At 42.1% G+C, this 26,066-nt stretch overlaps 1 protein-coding gene and 1 long non-coding RNA gene across 6 annotated transcripts in view, besides 2 other annotated features; one reads left to right on the top strand and one right to left on the bottom strand.

Moving 5' to 3' along the window:
- HERPUD2 (HERPUD family member 2) overlaps nucleotides 1-10,595 on the bottom strand; it is a 62,477-nt gene extending 51,882 nt beyond the window's left edge. For 3 of the 5 annotated variants that reach the window (NM_001438071.1, NM_001438072.1, XM_047420699.1), the window contains exon 1: nucleotides 9,644-10,595. In NM_001438071.1, coding sequence (NP_001425000.1) covers nucleotides 9,644-9,790 — 147 coding nt within the window. In that variant the 5' untranslated portion in view covers nucleotides 9,791-10,595. The remainder of the gene's footprint in view (nucleotides 1-9,643) is intronic. The other 2 variants (NM_001438070.1, NM_022373.5) reach the window with 1 other exon arrangement.
- Nucleotides 9,734-10,621: an enhancer, noted in NCBI's record as "H3K27ac hESC enhancer chr7:35733884-35734771 (GRCh37/hg19 assembly coordinates)". NCBI's record gives its function as "activates a minimal SCP1, AML or CMV promoter by ChIP-STARR-seq in naive H9 embryonic stem cells {active_cell/tissue: H9 hESC(naive)}" and the evidence as "EXISTENCE:reporter gene assay evidence [ECO:0000049][PMID:30033119]".
- Nucleotides 10,064-10,473: a silencer, noted in NCBI's record as "silent region_18096". NCBI's record gives its function as "represses an Ori minimal core promoter by ATAC-STARR-seq in GM12878 lymphoblastoid cells {active_cell/tissue: GM12878}" and the evidence as "EXISTENCE:reporter gene assay evidence [ECO:0000049][PMID:35858748]".
- Nucleotides 10,666-14,873, top strand: HERPUD2-AS1 (HERPUD2 antisense RNA 1). Its single transcript, NR_136255.1, has one exon. It is a non-coding gene; the product is annotated as an HERPUD2 antisense RNA 1 (long non-coding RNA).
- The last annotated feature ends 11,193 nt before the right edge of the window (nucleotides 14,874-26,066 follow it).

Genomic DNA, 26,066 nt, shown 5'->3' on the forward strand with positions numbered 1-26,066 from the left:
TATGTGACGGACTACTACTCAGCCCTAAAAAAGAACGAATTAATGGCATTTGCAGCAACCTGGATGAGACTGGAGACTATTATTCTAAGTGAAGTACTCAGAAATGGAAAACCAAACATTGTATGTTCTCACTCATAAATGGGAGTTAAAGCTATGAGGATACAAAGGCATAAGAATGACACGATGGACTTTGGGACTCAGCGGGAAAGGGTGAGAAGGGGGTGAGGGATAAAAGACCACAAACAGGGTGCAGTGTATACTGCCCGGGTGATGGGTACACCAGAATATCATAAATCACCACTAAAGAACTTACTCATGTAACCAAACACCACCTGTTACCCAATAACCTATGGAAATAAAAAATAAAATAAAAGGAAAAGTATTCTATATTTTTACAGTAATTGAAAACAGAAAAACTGGCCAGGCATGGTTTCTCACACCTGTAATCCCAGCACTTTGGGAGGCCAAAACAGATGAATCGCTAGAGCCCAGGAGTTCCAGACCAGCCTGGGCAACATAGTGAGACCCTGTCTCTACAAAATATACTAAAGTTAGCTGGGCATGGTGGTGCATGCCTGTAGTCCCAGCTACTTAGTAGGCTGGGGTAGGAGGATCACTTTAGCCCAAGAGGCAGAGAGGTGAGCCAAGGTCGTGCCACTGTCCTCCAACCTGGCAACAGAGGGAGAGACTGTCTCAAAAAAAAAAAACAGAAAAGAAAACAGAAACATTATTAATTTTTTCATGTGCCTAAACTAGGTAAAAAGTAACACTTGGAATTTTTTTTGTTTTTTTTTTTTTTTGGAGATAGAGTCTTGCTCTGTCACCCAGGCTGGAGTACAGTGGCATGAGCTCAGCTCCCAGCAACCTCCGCCTCCCAGGCTTAAGCAATTCTCGTGCCTCAGCCTCCCGAGTAGCTGGGATTACAGGCGCGTGCCACTATGCCCAGCTAATTTTTTTGTATTTTTAGTAGAGACAGGGTTTCTCCATGTTGACCAGGCTGGTCTCGAACTCCTGACCTCAGGTGATCTGCCCATTTCAGCCTCCCAAAGTGCTGAGATTACAGGCATGAGCCACTGTGCCTGGCCGGAAATTTTTTATGCCATTAAAAAACTGCCTCTTCAGTTTAAATATCAATGAATTTAATTTAAATATCAGGGCTGGGTGCAGTGGTTCACGCCTGTAATCCCAGCACTTTGGGAGGCCCAGCTGGGAGGATCACTTGAGGTCAGGAGTTCCAGACCAGTCTGGCCAACATGGTGGAAACCTCATCTCTACTAAAAATACGTGGCAGCAGCAGGTGTGGTGGCAGGTGTGGAAGGCTGAGGCTGGAGAATCGCTTGAACCTGGGAGGCGGAGGTTGCGGTGAGCCAGGGTTGTGCCACTGCACTCCAGCCTGGACAACAGAGCGAGACCCTGTCTCTAAATAAATAAATAAATAAATAAATAAATAACTTAAATATCAGGAAAATCATGTGTTAGACCTAATAACAAATGACAATAATCAACTGAATTTTCAACTAGTTATTTTGGTATTGTAAGCTACAGCATTAGGAAAAGCAGAGACTTTGAGATCTCAACTCAATTTGACTTGTAAAAAGTAATATAATGTTATTTATCCAGCCCTGCTAATATCATTACCTTTTTCTTTTTCTTTTCTTTTTTTTTTGAGACAGAGTCTTACTCTGTCGCCCAGGCTGGAGTGCAGTGGCGCGATCTCAGCTCACTACAAACTCTGCCTCCCAGGTTCATGCCATTCTCCTGCGTCACGTCCCAAGTAGCTGGGACTACAGGTGCCTGCCACCACGCCCGGCTAATTTTTTATATTTTTAGTAGAGACGGGGTTTCACCGTGTTAGCCAGCATGGTCTCGATCTCCTGATCTCATGATCCGCCCACCTCGGCCTCCCAAAGTGCTGGGATTACAGGCGTCAGCGCAGCGCCCGGCCTAACATTATCTTTTAGCTTGATTAAAAACCCATTTCCACCCGGCTAAAACGGTGAAACCCCGTCTCTACTAAAAATACAAAAAATTAGCCGGGCGTAGTGGCGGGCGCCTGTAGTCCCAGCTACTTGGGAGGCTGAGGCAGGAGAATGGCGTGAACCCGGGAGGCGGAGCTTGCAGTGAGCCGAGATCCCGCCACTGCACTCCAGCCTGGGCGACAGAACGACACTCCGTCTCAAAAAAAAAAAAAAAAAAAAAAAAAAACCAAACCCATTTCCAGGCCAGGGGTGGTGGCTCACGCCTGTAATTCCAGCACTTTGGGAGGCTGGGGGGGGGGGGGTGGGGGGGTGGGGGGGGGCGCGAGTCACGAGGTCAGGAGTTCGAGACCAGCCTGGCTAACATGGTGAAACCCCGTCTCTACTGAAAATACAGAAAAATTAGGTGGGCAGGCGCCTGTAATCCCAGCTACTGAGGAGGCTGAGGCAGGACAATCACTTGAACCCAGGAGGCAGAGGTTGCAGTGAGCTGAGATCACGCCACTGCACTCCAGCCCAGACGACAGTGCGAGACTCTGTCTCAAAAAAGCAAACCAAAACAAACCCATTTCTATATTAGTTAGGGTAATGATAGTTGCTATAACAAATCCCAAGATCTCAGTAGCTTAACACAATAAAAGTTCATTCGTTTCTCAATTTAAAAAACATTGCATGGTACCCTTCTAATATAAGAATTCAGAAGACTCAGGGTTCACAAATCTAAACGTACTAGTTAAATTGTCAATTTAAAGATTCTAATGATAAGATACTGGCTCCACAGAGTAACATATAAATATAATTGGCCTCTCCATTACCACCACCACTATTCTTCCTGGTACTCACCCCTACATCCAATAGTCAGCAAATTCTATCAGGTTCACTACTTTCACCACCAATACTTCACCCTAAATGAAGCCTGGTCACAGATGGCAGTGCAGAATCAGCCAAATAATAAGACAAAGAACAAGTTGGAAACATCCTGATGTACTCTGAGTGGCCCAGAAACAGAAATATCCCACTTCAAATAAACAGCTGCTTAACTAGCTGGCCGAGAAAACCTCTGCTACCCACTTAACAGACATTGCTAAAAACCAAGGTGAGGAAAGCTCACTTGCTGGTATAACAGGTTAAAATAAGTCCTAACCTGGACTTTTTTGTTGTTTCTAAAAGGTTTATGTATATGCCATTATTGAAAGTGTCTGACCCTTTAATGTTTAACCAAATATCAGAAACAGATCAAATATCATACATCCTTAACACATTTAAAATATCTCCTGGAGTCTGATAAATGGGTTTAAAGCCAACAATACTTTTATATTTCAAGAAAGTCACCTAGTTAGTATCAAATGATTAAATTTTTTATGTCAAGGATTAAATGGGTCTTTCAATTATGTATGGCTTAAAAATCATGTTCCTAGTATATCCAACTTCAGCATAATCAAATTTCATATGCTAATTTAAAAATATTAATTAAAAATTTTAAAATATCTATCATCTTAATAGTTCAGTAAAGGCAATCTTCAACTTACAGGTTAGTTCAATGAACTATAATCTAGTCCTTTAAAAGTAGTAACTATTAAGTACTTACATATAGTTCAGTCACAAATATCAAATAGCTTTAAAGAGCTGGGTCCCAGGAAGTGCACAAAATATCATTTCTGTGGGAAATGAATTCTGTAAATTTGTACTAGAACACATCTCCTTCCCATTTCCCACTAAAAGCATCCAATCTAAAAACCCTGAAAATTCAGAAACACTATAAATAGAGGCACAGTCACCCAAACTGCCTCTACCCCTTATCTCCTTGCAGTAACAGTAAGCAAAACTGTACCTACAGAATATTACAGAGTAATGTTCTCTGGAACTCCAAAGAGATATTCCCAGCTTAACTGCTTCCACTCATGGGTAGAGATATATGATATTCACACACCAAGTGATGTACACCTCTGATGTTCAATAGAGCCTGTCAAAGTATATGACTATGGTTCACACCAACTGGTAGACTGTGAAGACAGGACAAAGATATGTGCGCTGCAGTCTTAAGATATTATGCATCTAATCTTTCCTATAATTTATCAGAATAAAGAGATATAACCACACATTAAGCTAAGTGTTAGCACCATAGTAAGGCTGTTATCCATTTATCTACAGCCTTTAGACAACAAACCAGCCAAACATATAAATCTCTTTTTATAGCTCAACTGGTTCTTTTTAGTTTACAAGTATATAACTGAGATGGCTGAGTCCCTAAATGCCTTTCTTCATCTTATTATACATAACCATCACATATGATGTGTACAGTAAGTCCAACCTGGGTTCAAATTCTAATTCCACTCCTTAGAGTCTGACCTAAGCAAAAAAAAAAATCACCAAGCCTCGGTTTCTTCATCTATAAAGTAGAGCTAATTATAAACCTTACATCATAAGAAGTCTAGGAGGAATATATGTGATAAAGCATATCAAATGCTTATTATAATGCCTGGTACACATGGCAAACACTTAGTAAATGGCAAAGTCAGAGCAGTTAAATAAAAGCATTCTAGACAATCAAAGCAGAATTTATTATGTTAAAAAAAGAAACTTAAGCTAAAAGTTCTACAAAAATTCTATCTGGAAAGTATTGAGAAATGATTAAACATTACCTTCATAATAATGTTATTATATTTTCCAAAAAGACATAAGGCTACAAATACATTAAGCAATAAAATTTTAGTGAGCAGTCATTCAAAACTTTTAGTCTGTTTTTCATCAACTTTCACATTCGATAGTACCCTTTGTTCAAAAGAGGTTTTAAAATCTTGAACTATATTCCCAGGCGACATGAAACCCTCTTAAATGTATTAAAATCTTATAAGACAATAGTTTTATAAAACAAAAATTATTTTGTTTATGGATTATAGCCCCTTTAAATCAACAATTCCAAAATGGTTAAACAAGTAGACTTTTTAAAATGACCTAAGTAAGGTAATAGGAAATTACAAAACTAAGAGAGATAAAATTTCAAATGATATAAGCTATTTCTACCTGTAATGAAAGTAAGACTTCTGATTGCAGGCAATTTGGTTATGGAGTGTTATAATCTCACAACAGAACCTATATATACAATTGGTTCTATTCTTGCTTCTTTAATTCTAATAGAATCTGAGAGTAAAGGAACAGTTTGAAAAAACAGCACAAACCTGCTTAACTGATCAGGAGAGGTAGATAAGAAAATGACTGCTTTGGTTTAACAGTATGAACAGCAAAGACAGAGGAAATCTGCCCAGAACTGAGGGACACAATCAGAGGTATTTTGACCCCAAGACTGAAAAATGGAGAGCCAAGCCATGCAAGCCCCAAAAAGGTTTGCCTTCAAAACTGAATTCAGAGTGAGTCAGGTCCATCTTAGTGACTGCTTGTTCATGAGAACAGATATAGTAAGAGAATGAGAAAGGTACCTAAGTGGACTTGGATATTCATATTTTTAAAATTTTTCTCTAGGATGATCCATCTATTATCAACCGTTTTGGTATTTACATCTATAATAACTAAGTCTAAACTCAGATTAAAGTCTGAAACTCAAGTAAAAGTGGTCTTCTTGCCAAGTATCTTCACCACCAAACAGCAATTACCTAAATTTTAGAATTATTTCACAGTGCAGCCCAATTTCAGGATCTGAAAAACTAGTCATGAAGTGATGTCAAATGTCATATTACAACTCACAATTATCTATATATTCTGTAATATAAACTAGTGCACTTCCCATTTCCTAAACCAAGTCTTAAACCAATTATCAATATCATTCAAAGTTAACTCCAAAACAGCTCAACTCCACATCCGAGGTTTTTAATTATGACTTTGTGAACATTTTCACAAATATGGCAACTGCCTAAATTCCTAACCAGAAAACACCTTTCCCTTCACAGATCATTAAGGATCTATAATCTTTTTACCTAATACTGTATTACTAAGTAATATACTAATATAAAACAAAGTCATCAGTGCAAACATTAACTCCAAAAGAATAGTTAAGGCCGGGAGTGGTGGCTCATGCCTGTAATCCCAACACTTCGGGAGGCCGAGGTGGGTGGATTACCTGAGGTCAGGACTTTGATACCAGCCTGACCAACATGGTAAAACCCCATCTCTACTAAAAATACAAAATTAGCCGGGCGTGGTGTCACATGCCTGTAATCCCAGCGACTTGGGAGGCTGAGGCAGGAGAATTGCTTGAAGGCGGGAGGCAGAGGTTGCAGTGAGCCGAGATAGCGCCATTGCACTCCAGCCTGGGAAACAAAAGCGAAACTCCGTCTCAAAAAAAAAAAAGAACGGTATAAAAAAGGAAGCTATCAGAGTCTGATTCTTGTCTGCTTAAAACTGTAATCAACTCTTTAAGAAAACTTAAATGTCCCCGTGAATCTTTTCTTGAAACAGCTACACATTCCCCTAACCCCTACTCCAGAGATGATCATTCCCTTCCTGTGTTCCTATGCAACACACAGAACATCCCTCCTGTATAATACTAGTCACATACTATTACGCTTATTTACTTACATGTCACTGGATCTGAGCTTCACAAAAGCAAAGGACTCTTACCATCATCTTCACACTTAGCATAAATATTCAAATGCTAGGCCAATAAAATCCTAGTTATATAAATAAATGAAGACCCAAAAAAATGTGCTTTGAGGGGGAGGGGTACATTTGTTCTAAGTTTGCTAGGGGAGGGAGAAGTGAATTTAATATACCCATATGGAGACTGTGATTAGTCAAATCAATATCTGACCATGAAGCTAGGATCCCAAGATTTTACAACTTCATAGAGTTCAGCCAGAATTCCATTAACAGCATATAGACATATGACCTATCTTTGTAGGATCCTAAAAGGACAATCTCAAATTTCCATTCTTTCCCCTCTAGCAGCACCAATTTATTTTCCTAGAAGCCACTGCCCACAGGAACAAAGTCCCTCCACCTACTCCTGACCCATCAGATCCAATTAGAGCAATGTTGATGAGAGCCATCAACTTTTTACTTACTGGGGCACTCCTGTTCCTACAAAGCACTGGAGCCCTACTCTGCTAAGTCCACACACTGATAATGAAAGTAGGCATATGTGCAAGGAAGATGCACAAGAAATTATCTCTGTTAAACATAACAGCACTTGAAAACTAAAACACAGAATCAATGTTTAGTCATTGCAGGCGGTCAGAAAAACCTAAACTTCCTTTATAATATTACTTAATAGCAAACTGTGCTGAATTCTAAATAATGACCTTACAAAGTAAACTTTTAGGACTCCAACTCCTATGCTGAGGACTACCTATGGCTTTGCGATACCATTAAACTGCTGCTCAACAACTGTGATGCTTCAAATCAATTCTCACGTGATAAGAATGTAAACTTACTAAATCTAGTAACTATACAAAGTTTTCAGTGAAATTCTATGACGATAAACACACATACCCCCACCGCTCCAGAGCTCCACCCACTCAACCTAGAAATGAAAGTCAGACATTACAATTCACTTAAAGAAAACTTGTCAAAGGAGAAAAAAAGGTTTGCCATGTTAATCATTAATAGGCTGCATAGTATTTGGTTTAGCCTCCAAAAGTGTCTCCAGTGTGGCTACAGGAGGCAGGCAGTTTGGGAAGGAGTTCTGTAACAGATCTCATCCTCAGACAGCTAACTAATGCACAGCGGCACTGACATCCTCCACTAGTGATCAGTGCTGCACAGGCAGACCTCCTGCCAAAAGCAGGCCTCTTCATGGGTAGATAAGGCAGACAGGCTTCCCACTCCCGTCTCAGGTACTTTTTTTTAAAAAAGCTTTAGAAAAAAGTCTATAAACTGCAGACTAGGTCCCTTTTGGTTTAATAGTACAATGTAAAGATCTCGCCTACGTACATACCAGAGCATATATTTGCTATGAACAGTATTATGGAAGTCTATGACTTTCAATTGACTATCCTAAAAACCTATTTTCCACTTCAAAAATGTGTGAAACTAATCATATGCAACAGGAAATCTTTTGTAATCAAGGTATTTTCAAACAGATTCTTACTCCCTGTGTAAATCTTAACTTTCAAACAAAAGATGTGAATAAACAGGGGCTCTAACTAGTTTAAGTACTTAAATTCCTCAGGGTTTTTTTTCCCTCCTACTAAAAATATTTGTATCACAAAGTACTGATAAACACAGCTAATGCCGATTAAGAGTTGTTTTTCTAAACCTCCTGTTTTTGCAATAACCGTCCTATTTCTGTGGTTCTTCTGCAAGTCTAAAAGCCTAACTAAACTTAATACTACAACACTGAAATGCTCATAATTCATTAATATCGTAATATAGATCAAGTGTCTTCCTTAACTTAGGTGCATAAAACAAGTGTTAAGTGTAGAAAGCATAGTTGCCTTCCAACAGATCCATGCTTAAATGTACCTGATGCCAAAAGTTATTTCCCACCCTAAAATCCGACCCTCTTTATTAAACAAAAGTTTTAGTAATTAAACACTACTTATTCAAGAATAAAAAATGTATACAGTGGAGAATGCGAAAGCCTCACTTTCATATACAGTACTCTACATGACGGTATACTTCTTTTCTAAACTATTCCAAGACTCCTTGATTACCAACCACGGCCTTTCAAATCTGACTTTGGGGACAGATGGAGCTGTACTGTCTATATTTTATTTATTATCTCTGCAATATCCAGTTATGATTCAGAATGGAACACAGAATGGAAAAGCCATATGAGAGGGATGCACCAAATGGTGGTGGGGTGGAGGGCAGTTCTCTTTTAAACTAATGTCCATGTATCCTCTACAGGAGAAAAATGTTGAAAGGGGTTGTGGTGAAAACGAATCTACAACTTATAATTCTTTGGTCCTTGAAACATATATAGTAACCTTGAAAGTATAATTTTTATAGGGGACACATACTTATTTCTAAGAAAAAAAAATCTTCAATTTCTGTTTAAGTTTCTGGGCCAAGTGTTGAAAGTAAAATGGAATTTTAGTGTAATAAGCAATAAAAGCTCTGATACGGGTTGTAGTGCTTTATCTTTTTTTTTTTTAAGAAAGGATATATCTCTCACTCGCATATTAGGTTGATGACTTTAAGTCCAAAGAAAGTAGTCCCTTTTCCATGCCTGCCAATTCTTTGAGACAGAGTCTCACTGTGCCACTCAGGCTGGAGGGCAGTGGTGCGATCTTGGCTCACTGCAACCTCCGCCTCCCGGGTTCAAGCGATTCTCCTGCCTCAGCCTCCTGAGTAGCTGGGATTACAAGCATGCGCCACCACGCCCAGCTAATTTTTGTATTTTCAGTAGACATAGGGTTTCACCATGTTGGTAAGGCTGGTCTCGAACTCCTGACCTCGTGATCCGCCCGCCTTGGCCTCCCAAAGTGCTGGGATTACAGGTGTGAGCCACCGCGCCCGGTCTTTGCCTGCCAATTCTTAAGTCCCTTGATATTTCTGCTTCCTCTTACTAATTAACTGAACCTCATCAGGAAAATATTAATGATGGTTCGAACACTCAGGAGACACAACCTCAGAACTCAAAATACCTCGCGGTCTACCAAAAGAGACCTATTTGATTCAAGACTGGAGGGGAGAAGCAGGAAAAAGGAGGGTACACGGCACGAAAAGCTGCTGGTCAGAGCAGCTGCCCCCAGCTTTTACACACTTACTGGTTTGCTAGGGTAAACGTTAGATAGATGCGTTTTTAGTTTCCCCACGGTCCAGTTCAAGAAGCAGCTAATAGTCTGGTCACTGTATTTCTGATTCGGTGCTTTAATGATGAGGGTCACAGGAATCTCCATCCCACTTTGGTCCATGGTGCCCCCAAAGTCAGACAGAGTCCAGAGGAGCGGCAGTTAAGCCCAAAAGAGCCGAGATGGTCACCGCCGGCGCGACTGGGATGAGGACAGAAGTGAGTTCTTAGTATTCCGTGTCCAAGTCAGTTACAAGTGCACTGGAGGATACGAAGCCCATTGCCGGTACCAAGGATGGACTGAGGTGGTGGCGACTGCGACGGTGGGGTCTGGGTGCCCGGCCGTGGAGGCAGCTCTCCCCGCCAGGTCCGGGCTCCGCCGGGCTCCGGACTGTGGAGGCCGTCGTGAGGAGAAAGGAAGCTATACGAAGGAAGGGTGGGAGGGATGAGGGCACAACGGCCGGCCCGGGGTCACTGCCCCGCCCCACCGCGACCCCCAAGCTGGAACGCAACAAGGCCCCTACGCCACGGCCCCGCGGTGCGGATCGGGGAAGCAGCTGGGCCGCTCAGGGCGGTCAGCGGGCACTGGGGTACCTGAGAGAAGGCCGCGGGGCCCGCCACCGCCGCCCTCCGCGCCCAGGCAGGGCCGCCAGCCACACCGTCCGGCCAGGCGTTTTCCGTGGCAGCCGCTCCCTTCCTGCTGCGCGGCGACCGGCACGGCCCAGCCCCGGGTCTCGCGAGGAGGCGCGGGTGAAAGGGAGAGAAGCTGACCGAAGGCGCGGCCCGGCTCTCCGCCTGACCCCTCAGTCTGGACAGCGCAGGGTGGCGGCAAGGCAGGGCTGGGCCGGGGGCGGCCCAGGCGACTACAGGTAGCAGGAGGGCGGGGACGAGAGCCGTTGCGCCACCGCTGGCGCGCCGGTTTTGTTGTTATTGCGAGGATTGTCTGGGGCCCCTTTAAGCCGGAACAGGCAGGGCGGAAGTGCGTCACCGGCGGCACGCCCCTGCACATGGACCTCCCCCGTCCCCGCCATCCCTGCCGATCCTGTTGCTGCCGCCTTCCCGCCGTGCTCGGGCTGCCCGGGACTCTAGCCGCCAGGCTTCGCGTCGCCCAGCGGCAGATCGGGCTCCTGGGAGCCTCTCCCCTGGCCGTTTGCTCGGCCTCGGCCCCAGCTGCCCTGGGGCCTAGCCACTAGCTCCCCTGGCGCTAGCCTACCCTGTCTTGACCGCACCCTGAAGATTTGGGAAGTCTTTCTCCATCCCAAGAGTCGTCTCTGCAAAAGTTGGTGTCCTTCCTGGTGCTGAACCACGCTTCTGCTCAAAATGTGTTGAGCGTCGTCTGTCTGCAAAGCACGGTGCCAGGAGCTTTGGTGGAGAAGGCATGGGGTACATGTGTAAAGAGTACAGGCTTTTGGTTAAACCTGAAGTCCTCCTCTACTTTCTGGGGGACCCTGGCCGTCCTTGCTGAGCCTCCGTTGACTTCTCTAATGGGGACGGTAATGCCTACCTGACCACAAGCTGATGAGTAAATGAGCTATGAGTGCAAAGTGTGGTGCAGTTCTGGCGTGTGCCAGCCTCTCAAGTGTCAGTTTCCGTCTCATTCCTCTTAATCTTCACTAAAATGGACAAGTATTCATTGAGCACCTAATGCGTGTTCAGTATGGTGGGAGATGAGGGATGACAGTATTATTTTTCTATTTTATAGGTTAGACATAGAACAAAAGGTTGAGTCTATTGCCCATAGCCGAACTTTTCTTCATTTTCTACTGTGGTTTAGAAGTCGGTATAGTAAGTTAAGGGTTGTTAGATGTGCATTTTCACAGCTCCCAGCTTCCACTTAGGAGTAGATAACATAGGGGACTTTGCGAGCTGGTCTCTTTCCCTCTTAGCTTCAGAAGGGCTTCGAGGTAGCCACCACTGAATTAGTTGAGAGACAAGGCACCCCTACGGAGGAAATCTCAACTGCACAACCCCTACTGTGCCCCAATTCAGCAGGAAGCAGTTAGAGCGGTGGTCAAACCTCCCCAATAGCACTTGGGTTTTCCTGTTGAGAGGGGGTACTGAGAGACAGGACTAGTTGGATTTCCTAGGCTGGCTAAGAATCCCTAAGCCTAGCTGGGAAATTGACCACGTCCACCTTTAAACACGGGGCTTGCAATTTAGCTCACACCCGACCAATCAGGTAGTAAAGAGAGCTCACTAAAATGCTAATTAGGGAAAAACAGGAGGTAAAGAAGTAGCCAATCATCTATCGCCTGAGAGCACAACAGGAGGGACAATGATCAGGATATAAACCCAGGCATTCAAGCCAGCGGTGGCTACCCTCTTTGGGTCCCCTCCCTTTGTATGGAAGCTCTGTTTTCACTCTATTAAATCTTGCAATTGCACACTTTTCTGGTACGTGTGTGTCACAGCTCAAGCTGAGCTTTCGCTCACCGTCCACCACTGCTGTCTGCCGCTGTCACAGACCCACAGCTGACTTCCATCCCTCTGGATCCAGCGAGGCGCCCATTGCTGCTCCTGATCGGGCTAAAGGCTTGCCCTTGTTCCTGCAGGGCTAAGTGCCCAGGTTCGTCCTAATCTAGCTAAACACTAGTCACTGGGTTCCACGATTCTCTTCCATGACCCACAGCTTCTAATAGAGCTATAACACTCGCCGCTTGGCCCAAGATTCCATTCCTTGGAATCCATGAGGCCAAGAACCCCAGGTCAGAGAACACAAGACTTGCCACCATCTCGGAAGTGGCCCGTCACCATCTTGGAAGCGACCTGCCACCATCTTGGGAACTTGGGGAGCAAGGACCCCCAGTAACATAGTGACCAGGAGGAAATTCTTCCTCTCAACAGCTAATGCAGCAGGATCTCTTACACCGTACCCTCCCTCACCTTGCTCTTGCTCTTCATGGTAGAACACGTACCATATCTTAGCTGTACTCTATCAACTGCGCATCTGAAGTAAAGAGTGAAGTCTTCTTTGTTTCCAGTCATGGAGCAACAACTTGCTATGATACTGGCCTTCTGTAGCTGACTCTTCTTTGTCTACCCAGGCACTCTAATGGAACTTTAATTCTAGCTAAAGTTATTTTCTCAGACTCCTTTGAAGCAAGGGGCAGCCATTTGACACACTTCAAGCCAATGAGTTGAATGTTGAACTTATTGCTGAGGCTTCTAAGAAAGCATATAGATGGAAGGGCTCTGCGAATCAGAGCTCATCTTTGCCCTACACCTGTCTTCCAGGAGGAACGTGAAGAGCTACAGCACTCATAGTTCAGTCATGAAACAACAAACAGGAGAACAATGGCCTGCATTCCAAGGATGGCAGAGCAGAAAACTGTAAAGAGGCTGGGCATTTGATGGCATTGTGGTGCCACCAGACAAGCCCTAAGCTATCTTCCCTAAGACTTCTTGTTTTGGGTCAAATTCCTGTTTAAGCCAGGAAGTTTTCACAACCTTCACCACCCAGTCCTGCAGCTGTTGTCTCATGCTTGTGACTCAGACTTCCAGGAATCCTTTAGAAGTGATGTGGTGATCTCGTTTGGCACTATGCAATGTACACTATTAATGAAGGTACCCTAATAATTATAAATATTAAGACAGAATGTGCATTTCACAGTGATTTAAACACTCTTTAACACTCTTTAAAACAGTCCATCAAAGGTTCGCTAACACAGAGAAAAACATTTAAAATTGTAATAAAGGCTGGGCGCAGTGGCTTGCCTCTAATCCCAGCACTTCAGGAGGCCGAGGCAGGCAGATTGCTTGAGCTCAGGACTTTAAGACCAGACTGGGCAACACGGAGAAACCCCGTCTCTACAAAAAAATTCAAAAATAAGCCGGGCGTGGTGGTGCACGCCTGTGTTCCCAGCTACTCTGAAGGCTGAGGTGGGAGGATTGCTTGAACCCAGAAGGTAGAGGTTGCAGTGAGCTGAGACCATACCATGCACTCCAGCCTGGGTGATAGAGTGAGACTCTGTCTCAAGAAAGAATAAAAAGTAAAAATAAAATTGTAATGAACATTCAAGAAATTGAAATATACGGGTACAAAGATGATATAGTATCAGAAAAAATGATTTTTTTTAAATTTTACAGCCACTTGAATTAAGTACCTAAAAATGCTTTTGATGCTGTTGAGCTTGGCTATGATAACAACAGTATGTAAATATTCCACTTTTGTTAAAATATGTATAAACAGGTATGTGTACAGAGCAGTGTATGAAAGGGTGGTCCCCAGAATATTGATAGTGTTTGACGTGGAATTTGGGCTAGGAAAAATAATTACCAATGAGGAGATACAAGATAGCAGCAGTTAGGGAGAGGCCGTCCATGCAGCTGCCTATTTAAATCACTGTCCATGTTAACAGATAAGAACTGGAAATGTCAAAGAACAATTGCCCAGCTCAGTTACCATCTGCTACTAAAGATAGCCCCAGCTGGGTGCGATGGCTCACACCTGTAATCCCAACACTTTGGGAGGCTGAGGCAGGTGGATCACCTGAGGTCAGGAATTCAAGACCAGCCTGGCCAACATGGTGAAACCCCATCTCTACTAAAAATACAAAAAATTAGCTAGGTGTGGTGGTGCATGCCTGTAATCCCAGCCACTAGGGAGGCTAAGGCAGGAGAATTGCTTGAACTCTGGCAGCAGAGGTTGCAGTGAGCTGAGATTGTGCCACTGCACTCCAGCCTGGTCGACAGAGTGAGACTCAGTCTCAAAAAAAAAAAGCCCGTAATGAGAACTCTCAAGAGTACCATGGTAATATAATATGGTAATAGATAATAAAAGAGTCATGATCATTAATAATAAATATAATACTTCTACTTCAACTGAGGAATGGAAAACTAAACATCATATGTTCTCATATGTCCCTAAGCTATGAGGATGCAAAGGCATAAGAATGATACAATGGACTTTGGGGACTTTCAGGGAAAGGGTGAGAAGGGCGTAAGGGATAAAAGACTACAAATTGGGTTCAGTATATACTGCTCGGGTGATGGGTGCACCAAAATCTTAAAAATCGCCAAAGAACTTATGTAACTAAATACCACCTGTTCCCCAAAAAACTATGGAAATTAAAAATTAAAAAATAAGTATAATTTCTGCTTTAGCGATATTAACTATTCAGTACACAATAAGTGAGTTTAGCAATTCAGTGATTTCTGACTGTTGGGTAGCTCTCTTTGTTAACAAATAAAATATAAATTTGAAGAAACTTATTTGTAAATAATGGTTTTCTGTGAATTAATGGGATGTTTGTTTACTTCCACTTCTTCTTTGAGGTGTAAAAGAGAACAGCTAGAAAACACATATTGTGGCTGGGGCGGTGGCTCACACCTGTAATCCCAGCACTTTGGGAGACCGAGGCGAGCGGGTCACTTGAGGTCAGGAGGTTGAGACCAGCCTGGCCAACATGATGAAACCCCGTCTCTACTAAAAATACAAAAATTAGCTGGACATGGTGGCACGCACCTGTAGTCCCAGCTATTCAGGAAGCTGAGGCAGGAGAATCGCTTGAACCCGGGAGGCAGAGGTTGCAGTGAGCCAAGATCACACCACTGTACTCCAGCTTGAGTGACAGAGTGAGACCTCCATCTTGGGGAAAAACAGTAAAAAAAAAAAAAATTGATTCATTCAGTGAGATTACAGTTTCCTTTAAAAATTCAAAGTAAGTGCTTGTCACTGAGCTTTTCTTACTGAAATTTGGAGTACCTTCCAGGAAGCTAAAATACTTTTATGATGTTGAATAGTATAGTTTGAGTTTGTTAGCTCTCTTGGAAGGAAAGACTTCAAGTGATGATCTTGCGGTTTCAAGTTTCAGAGATGATGTTGGCCATCTGGCTTCTGATTCCATTCATTTCTACTTTCACCATCCTTGTCATTTTTTAAAGAGACTGTGTCACAAAGCATCTAATCAAATCTTAATCAAGTTTATTGTTTTTAAAAAATGAAAACCTACATTGGAAGCCTAAGAAAATTAGCTCATTTCAACACTCTACTTTAAAAATCGTAAATGGTCCCAGATGTTTGATCACAAGTCATCTTGTAGGAAATGAAACAAAACCATTCATTAAATCCCAAATGGTGTTTTGAATTATATGTCATCTAATGAATTCTTAGAACAGTCTCGAGAGATAATGAGGACACTGAAGCTCAGAAAGGGTAAGTATCCTGCCCAAAATCACACAGTAAGTTCCAAATAGAGCTCTGTCCCCACTGTAATGCACACACTTTCCACTACACTGAACTTTATTACTTAAAGATAATCATGGGTAACAAGACACATTCAGGAGGAAAAGGCTTTCAGGAACATCTTAGAGATCATCTAGATCAGTCTTCTAGGTACTGCCAGAATGAATCAGTCTTACCACATCTCTGAAGGGTGATCAGCCAATTGACATAGCTCTTTCCAGAGACAAGGAGCACCATAGTTTTTACTGCAACATGACAGGTTGTTAAACAGCCATGGTGTTTATAAGTGAATTGAAATTTGCATTCCTATAATTTGTCATTGGGCCTACAATGATCAATCCAAAATGTGTTTACTCTTATTCCACATGCCAGCCCTTCAAATAGACAGCTGTAAAATGCTCTTTATATCTTCTGCAGACTAAATAGCCTTAGATCCTTCAACAATTCTTTAGTTTCCAGATCTTTCAGAATAGTGACTCACCTTTGAACACACTAGTTTGTAAATTCCCCCATAAATTATGAACACAATAGGCACAGTAGTTCATACAGATTGTGATTTCCCTATAATAGTCTTCATAAAGACACGTCTGTATTTCTATTAGTTTGTTAATAGAAATCTACCTAATCTGGTTTAGCAGTTGAGTTTCCTGCTTTTCAGGAACTCTATGTCTAGTCAGTATTTACAGTGACCATTTGGCTAAGAGAGAAACCTCTTGTTTCTCTGATGATTCAATCTAGTGACTTATTTAGGATAACAATTGGAGAATATCGTAGCTAAATACCATCTCACTGAGGCTCTTTTAGGTGACCAGAGAAGTAGTAAGGGAAAGAGGGCAAATCACTTACACTGTTCACCCTTTGAGAATTTTTACCTAAGGGTATGTGTTAGTTGTCTATTGCTGTAAAACAAATTGCCTCCAAAACTGTGGGTCAGAAATTTGGGAGCAGCTTAACTGGGAGTCCTGGTTTGAGGCTCTCATGGCATTGCAGTCAAGATTTCAGGTGGCATTCAGTCATCTGAAGACTTGATTGGGACTGGAAGATCTACTTTCCAGATGTCTCACTCATAAGGCTGGCATGCTGGTGCTGGTTATTAGTGTGAAGTCTCAGTTCCTCCCCATGTGGGCCTCTCTATAGAACTGCCTGAGCATCCTCAAAACATGGCAGCTGGATTCCCCCAGAATGAGAGATCCAAAAGACCAATGCAAAAGCTGCAATGCCTTTTATGACTTAATCTTGGAAATTACATAAATACTGTCACCTGCATTGTGTTCTTTAGTCACACAGACCAGCCCTGAATCAGTTTGGGAGGAGAGTAAATATGGGCATGAATACCCAGAGATAAGGACTGTTAGTCTCATATTGGAGGCCAGCTTACCAAATGTACTTTACCAAAGCATGGCAGGTCTAATAGATACCTTTTTCCTTCTGTATACTACTATCCAATTCCAAATCCCAATACCTGTGTTGCGACTGTTTCACAACTGCTTGCCCTTCAACTGGCATTCAGCCTCTCTCTTTCTAAAGGCCTTTCACCTCCAAATTTAGAACTATCTTAACACTATTCCATATTTCTCAAATGTTTGTCATTATTGTTAAAAAGCAAATATAGTTTAACAGTTTGGAAAAACATTTCCTACTACATTCAAATAAAGTTAAGAAAATATCAGTAAATTGAAACAAACCTGGAGAAGAGTCATTGGCCTATCCCAGGGGTTCTTAATCTGGGTTCAGAGATAGATGGCCAACATGTGTATACTCCTGAATTGTCTGTAATACTGTGTGCATGTGTACACATGGCATTTATCTAAAGGAGAGCCCATAGCTTTTATCAGCTTCTCAAAGAGGCCATTTGTAATGCCTTTCAGAACCCCAGTGAAATTCAGTCCTCACTATGAGGTTTTTCCAGTTAAAGGCAATGGGTTACTAAGCCAATTACCAGATTATGCCCTCAAGGCTCCAGATATACCCATCATTGTCTGCTTTGTGATAATATAGATAAGTCCTGTAAAAAATTCTTTTCCAGCAGGCATGACATTAAGCTTTGTCAGTAGAGAGCATTGGGGGGACACTAGAGAAAGAAATTTCTCTACCTGTACAGTGTAGTATGCTCCTTTAGGCAGGTTGTTACAGTGCATGTGGCTTCTGTAGCACCCAGTTCCAGCAGTGCCCAGTGGCCAACAGTGTGTAGCACCTTCCACGGACAACTTCTCCAGAAACCCTCTCAGGTAACTTTGCAGGCAACTGCTATGAAGAGCTTTCCCCTGGCACCCGTCAAGTGGCTCTGCACTGGAGTACCATTAGTACCACTAGTGCCACTGGTATAACACCCTCTGTGAATGGCTTCCCCTCACGCCCCTTGGCCAGCTTTGCAGCCTCAGCAAATTCTCTGACATTCAATGAGCCTGAGTCACTGAACTTCGTCAATGAGAGTTTCTCATCCCTAAGGGCAGTGGCTGCTCCCTATATCTGCTATTCCTATGTTCTTTAGAATTTGCTTTCCTTCTCACTAGCCATCTCCTCCTTATTACTCTATTCTCTGTTATAAATGATAATTATTTTCTTTTTTTTTTTTTGAGATGGAGTCTCGCTGTCTGTCACCCAGGCTGGAGTACAGTAGCACGATCTTGGCTCACTGCAGCCTCTGCCTTCCGGACTCCAGCGATTCTCCTGCCTCAGCCTCTGGGTAGCTGGGATTACAGGCACATGCCACCATGCCTGGCTAACTTTTGTATTTTTAATAGAGACATGGTTTCACCATGTTGGCCAAGCTGTCTCAAACTCCTGACCTCAAGTGATCCACCTGCCTTGGCATCCCAAAGTGCTGGGATTACAGGCATAAGCCACTGCGCCCAGCCTATAAGTGATAATTCTTTATACTTAACCTTCCATGTTCAAAATGTGGTGTGGTTTCTCTCTCTTAGTTGGACCCTGGTTGATACAGCATTGGTATGAGAGGTGGTCCCAGGAGATGGACAATGAAGATAAAATTTAAGAATTGGTTTGGTCATTCCTTTGGCTGAGCTCTTCCTCAGAGGGAAATTAGATGCTAGAAATCCATGGCATGCAGGGGCATTACAATTGGTCAGACTACTACCGTCTGTGGTTGATTGTGATGACATGCCAACTGAAGCAAGTGACTGCCTCAGCAGTTGATGCATTTGACAATTAGGGCAATGAAGATGACAATAAGGACAGTGGTATGGGATAGATCCTTCTGAGTGCCCTTAAGCACCTGTAGGTAGAAAATGACAACCTTATGTCTTTCAGTTCTCAGGTCAAGTCACAGACTATGACCAGAACTACAAAGAACCTTTTAGTTCTTGCAGGCATAGGGGTGATACTGTTGAAAATCAAGCACTAAATTTCATTTTAAGGGTTGCTGAATTATAGTAACAGTTAAATTCACGGTCACATCACTATGTATATATGTACACACATATGGGTATATGTACACACATGTACATATATATATATATTATAGGTCATTGATTGGAAAAGAATGGAGACCTGAAAATTGGAATAGGGCCATCTCCTTGGACCCAGATGATGCTGACAATCTTGAAACTCCAGGTCACTCTAAGCTTTGCCTATTCGCGAAAGTAGCTTGCCTTCTGGAGACTAACCTTTCTTTGCCTGAAAACTCTGTGATAACCTCACTTGGGGCAGAGTCCTTAAAAGAGGATGTTCCTTCTCAAGACCTACCATAACCACTCGCTATCGCCACTAGACCTATAACTACAGTTACATCTCAGCATGCCCCACAGGGACAGGTACACACTATGACCCAGGAAGAACTAGCTGACACACCAAAAGAATTGTAAGACTTTGCTAATATATATTGGCAGAAATCTGGGGAATATATCCTAAGGGTGTTAGACCAAGGAGGGTAAAATAAAGAGCCAGCTTGCTATGCTTGTACTTGCTAGAGATTCCAGATTTCATGTGTTAGCTCATCCAGCTGAAGGTGGCTCTTACAATTTATTGGTGTATTGACTGAAACTTGGACTCAAAGACAGCCTACATTTAATACAGCTGAGATGCCAGAGCTTTCCTGGCATCATGTGGAGAAAGCAATCCAAGGACTTAGGGAGATAGGAATGTTAAACTGTATCAAGTGTTACCGGCACACCCTTCTCCTTCCACTGTTCCATGAGAAGGCCCATAAGACACTCTCTTCACTAAGGCATTGAGAGGTACATTAGTAAAAGGGAGCACCTGCATTTTTGTAAAGCTCTGTGGTTGCTCTTTGTAGACCAGGTGGGAGTATAGGGATGCCACCATTTAGATGAACTTCCTAGTTGTGCCACTTGAGAGACAGCACTATGGAAGGCTGGGGATATGTTTTACAGGATGAAGTATATTCTTTGAATTCAAGACCATTGCATGCAGAAAGGCATGCAGATTCAAGCTCAACTGCAAAAATACTTAATGTCCATTATTTACATTAATATTTGTCTCAGTCACTATTATAAAGGACACAAAGGATAGTGAGATATACTTGCCTTCAAAGAGTTTGCAATCTAGTAGGAGAAAATAAGACACACATGCAAGTGACTATAAAACAAAATAGAGTAAAGGAGGTATCCCAGGCCCTTGTGTACACCAACCACCTTATGTCTCAGCCAAAAGTGGAAGAAGGAAGTGAGGAAAGGGTGTGATCTGCTATATCAAATTTAGCTGGGGCCATTTGCAAAATGGAAACAGTGCTTTGACAGGATTCTTCCTTTCCTTAGTCTTTTCCAGCTTTTCCTCACATTTTCCCAGAGTATACCTTCCTTAAAACTTCATCTACTTTTTTTTTTTTTGAGATGGAGTCTTGCACTGTTGCCCAGGCTGGAGTGCAGTGGCACTATCTCGGCTCACTGCAACCTCCGCCTCCCAGGTTCAAGTAATTCTCCTTGCCTCAGCCTCCCAAGTAGCTTGGATAACAAGTGCCCGCCACCAAACCTGGCTAATTTTTTTTTTTTTTGGATTTTTAATAGAGACGGGGTTTCACTATGTTGGTCGGGCTGGTCTCGAACTCCTGACCTCATGATCCGCCTGCCTTGGCCTCCCAAAGTGCTGGGATTACAGGCATGAGCCACCGCGCCTGGCCAAAACCTCATCTACTGCCCTTCCTCAGGCCCAGCTGAGACTCCTTCAGTTTGGCAACTGGGAAAAGAGACCCAGCTGTGCCCCAGGAAATAAGATGGACCCCAAATGACCAGGCATACATATCTACCTTCCCCATATCAATGTCTGTGTCCCCACTGCCATTATTAACAACAACCTCATTCTTTTTCATCACACTCCCACTGTCTCTTCCCATGTCACTTCCAGTATCTACAGCAACTTCTTTATGTTGGTAGTACCTTCCTAATTAATTTTGTTAAAGTTCTGAGGCCAGATCTAGGATCAGCAGAATAACTGGTTAGTTTGATTGACAAGGGTAAGGAATAGGGAATGACAGCTAAGTCAAGTACTTCAAATACTACATGCTAGAAACCCATTTCCTTCATTCATTCTAAGGATTTAGCACTCCAGAGTTACAAACTTTTATACTTCCTGTCTTATCTTGAAAATTTTCCAAAAACATGCATAACACATTTTAAATAGTTATATAACTGGTGAAGAGAAAAGGCCAAAGTTCTTGAGAAAAATCTTGGCTGAGTTTGCATTTTTTCTCCATCTTAGTTTTTTTGTGTATTTCCTTTCATGACTCCCTATGGTTTGTAAAGTTGGTTGAATCTTTGAAAAAGCAAGCTAGCTTTGACTAAGAAAACTTGTTAAATTTCAGGCTTTAGAGAGTAATGGGACAGCTTCCTGAGTATAATGTTTGTAACATTCATTTTTAAAGAATGCAGGAGTTTATCTCCCTGAAGAGATTTATGTTTTACAACTTTGATATTGTCCAGTACTAAAATGCTCAGTTCTGTTGCAAGAATGTGTAATTAGGATAAAACAACTTAACATTAGTGGAGTTCCTATTACAGATGTGGAGTGTGCTAGGTGTTTTATGATGATCTCTTTGAATCCCTTTAAGATAAGCCCTGAGTCTCTCCACTTTCAAACTTGTCCTATCCTGTCCTTAGACACTGTGAAATCTAATAATGCATTTACTATATGGTAATGACTTTTTTTTTTTTTTTGAGATGGAGTCTTGCTCTCTTTCCCAGGTTGTAGTGCAGTGGCGTGATCTCGGCTCACTGCAACCTCCACCTCCCAGGTTCAAGCGATTCTCCTGCCTCAGCCTCCCGAGTAGCTGGGACTACAGGCATGTGCCACCACACCCGGCTAATTTTTGTATTTTTTTAGAGATGGGGTTTTGCTATTTTGGCCAGGCTGGTCTCAAACCCCTGATCTCAGGTGATCTGCCTGCCTTGGCCTCCCAAAGTGCTGGGATTACAAGGGTGAGCCACCACCCCTGGCTGGTAATGACTTAAGTCTGTCTCCCTCACTAGACTATGTGCTCCCTGAGGCTAGATATTGTGCCTTAGCCATTTCAATATCATTGTTGCCTAGCACAATCCTTTTTGCAGAGCAACAATAAATATTACGGACTAAATTATAATACTTAGTTTACAGAGGGAAATGAGCTGTAGGGAAGTTACCTGCCTAAGTTCGACAGTTAGTAATTGATAGAGCTGTTGATACTAAAGCCCTTGACTCCTTTCTTTCTTTTCTTTCTTTTCTGTCTCTCTCTCTCTCTCTTTCTCTCTTTCTTTCTGACAAGGTCTCTCTCTGTCACCCAGGCTGGAGTGCAGTGGCGCGATCTCAGCTCATTGCAACTCCGCCTCCCGGGTTCAAGCAATTCTTGTGTCTCAGCCTCCCAGGTAGCTAGGATCACAGCCATGAGCCACCACGCCTGGCTAATTTTTTTTGTATTTTTAGTAGAGATGGGGTTTCACCATTTGGCCAGGCTGGTCTCAAACTCCTGGCCTCAAGCAGTCCACCCGCCTCAGCCTCCCAAAGTGCTGGGATTACAGGCGTAAGCCACCGCGCCCGGCTGCCCTTGACTTTTATTCACAGTATTTCTATTTAAGAGCATGCAGTTCTATAGGGTTTTGTATGCCCATTTTACATCCTCTATCTTGTGAGCAATAATAGTAATATGTCTGGGAGAGTCTGAGCCACATTCAGGAGGAGATTTGGCAAAAAGAGTTAAGGAAAAAGCCACAGAAGCATCATGGGTACAAAGTTTAGAAGCAATGGGGGGGCATCGGTCTTTACACATCTGTTAGGAATGTCATGCAGCTAAAAGCAGCATCCCTGATAAACCTGTTTGGTATCTACTCGGCAAAACGGAGAAAACCCATAGGAATTTCAGCATTGTACCTGTCTTGTCTCTTGTACACATTCCTCTCTCATTTAATGGTTGGTCATACCAGAGGCCATTTTCCTGCTAACTCCTTCTCCGCCAAACTCAGTATTTTAATGTACTAGTTGTTATTGCACATATAACTAGAATCTTCTATAATTATTATATGTTTGTAGCTTTTCTCTTGTGTCTGTGAAAGTCATTCTTTGGTTAACATAACCATCTTTTATTCACTTTCACCCAAAATTACAGTTCATAGCATACTTCAGGAAGGGAAAATGTTGAGGCATCCTCTTTATAAACCACCTAAATTTCTAAGGATGCCAGGGAATCAATGGTGGTAAATAAGCTTAAAGAAAGAAAAGAAGTCTCAGCTTAACTTGAGACTCAATTTTGCTCAGATTCATTTGAGAGATGACACTTTTTGATTCCCACCATTTATATATATATTAGTTTCTTTTTTCCTTTCACTCTTTCTTTATTTTTGTTTCATTTTGTTTTGTTTTGTTTCTTTTTTGAGATGGAGTCTCACTCTGTCACCCAGGCTGGAGTGCAGTGTCACGATCACAGCTCACTGCAGCCTCATCCTTCTGGGCTCAAGTGATCCTCCCACCTCAGCCTCCTGAGTAGCTGGGGCTACAGGCGCATGACCCCATGCCCGGCTAATTTTTTTTTATTTATTTTTTGTAGAGATAGGGTTTTGTCCTGTTGCCAAGGCTGGTCTTGAACTCCTGGGCTCAAGCCATCCACCCACCTTGGACCACAAAATGCTGGGATTACAGGCATGAGCCACCACAGCCAGCCTAGTTTCCAGTCTTTTCATATTTCCCTTAGAATCTCCATTTTGTATACACAATCTCATTTTTACTTATCATGAACAAAAACCATTTTTAGATTGCTGTTTCATAGGCTTTTAAAAATCAGGTATGGGCCGGGTGCGGTGGCTCACGCCTGTAATCCCAGCACTTTGGGAGGCCGAGGCCGGCGGATCACTTGAGGTTGGGAGTTCGAGTCCAGTCTGACCAACATGGAGAAACCCTGTCTCTACTAAAAATACAAAATTAGCTGGGAGTGGTGGCACATGCCTGTAATCCCAGCTACTTGGGAGGCTGAGGCAGGAGAATTACTTGAAACCAGGAGGCAGAGGTTGTGGTGAGCCATGGTCGCACCATTGCACTCCAGCCTGGGCAACAAGAGCGAAACTCCATCTCAAAAAAAATTATATATATATATATTCCATGCATTAAGAAGAATTTCTAGAACTATATAAACCAAAGTGTGGAGTGAAATTGTAGTGGGCATTTTATTTCTTTTTGTTTATATTTTCTACTTTTTCTAAGTGAACTCATTTTACTATTTTGATTAAAAAAAAAAGCTATTTAAAAGAAATTTTAAGTTCATTTATTCCTTCATTCAGTAGCAAGTCTTGGCATTATTTCTCAGTTTGAGCCTTTTAAAAAATAATAATAAAATATACATTTTACAAGAACAACCAGATTCTCTTCATAGCCCTTACATTTTGAACTAATGTATTTTATTTGTTGACAGTTTGGGTGAAGTCAGAGAGACATTTTCAAGTTTAAATTTCAAATTTCAAGTGTTAATTTCTATATAAAATCCTTTCCTAAATCAAAATTTTTACTTCAATAAAATGGATCTACCTTTATGTTTTGAAAAACTATGATTTTTAAAAATGAATTAGGCAAGATTGAATATTTTTCTTTTACTGTATTTTTAAATGTTGCTTATTCACAAATCCTTCCATCCTTCAGATTAAGGCCTAATTTGTGAGTAATATTCAAGTCATTAATTTCACAATTACTATTACATTATTAAATTTCTATTTAGAGGTACTTAGTGTCATATTTTCAAAAGGAAATAGACACATCTAAAACAAGAAACAGGAAACGCAGCATGAAATGTACCATTGCGGTGGTTAACCACAGTAGCCACTGGGTGTCTCCACTGCTTCACACCAGTCACTATCTCTGATGGAAGTTTCCAACGAAAACAGGAGATGAAGAGCAAAGCTTTATTTACAGAATTCTTAATTAGGAACTGATGCAGCATTTACATGCCAGACATTTTATTTAGAAACAGTTCTGCTCATGTAGGCAATATTTTCTTGCATTCTTTGATAACTGGGCATTTGATTTGCCAAGGAGAGGAAGGGAAACATTTATTATTTTTCTTAACATCCTATCATTTCCTATTCCAATTTTTAAATCGGAAACAAAGATTCTTCATTTGCGACATCTTGGCTATTTTCATAGCTACCATTTTCAGAGTTCTATAATGAAATAACTCTACTAAAAGCAAGAAAATTTACCACTAGACAGGAATATGGTATGTTTTCCTTTTGGAAAAGTAGAAAACTATATTGCTGGTAGCTTTCTACCTCTGAGAAATGTCACTGTGCCCCAAAAGAGCTAGTGAATAGAAGAAAAAGACAGGAATCAGCCACAGAGTAGTAGAACTGGCCTCTGGGTAGGTGATCTTTAAAGTTAACTCTCCACCAGGCAGGGTGGCTCACGCCTGTAATCCCAACATTTTGGGAGGAGGTATGCAGATCACTTGAGCTCAGGAGTTCCAGACCAGCCTGGGCAACATATGAAACCCCATCTCTACTAAAAATACAAAAATTAGCCAGGTGCGGTGGCGCACACCTGTAGTCCCAGCTATTCAAGAGGCTGAGGTGGGAGAATTGCTTGAGCTCAGGAGGTTGAGGTTGCAGTGACCATGTCACTGCACACCAGCCTGAGCAACAAAGCTTGTCTCAAAAAAAAAAAAAAAAAAAAAAAACAACAAAAAAAAAAAACTAACCATTCCTGGGATTGCAGATCTAAACCTTGGGACTGACTATAATTTAGAAACTTAACCTCAGTTTATATTTCTAGATGCCATTAAATTTGCAAT

Source organism: Homo sapiens, chromosome 7 (assembly GCF_000001405.40).
Source record: "Homo sapiens chromosome 7, GRCh38.p14 Primary Assembly".
In the NCBI taxonomy this organism is placed as follows: domain Eukaryota; kingdom Metazoa; phylum Chordata; class Mammalia; order Primates; family Hominidae; genus Homo; species Homo sapiens.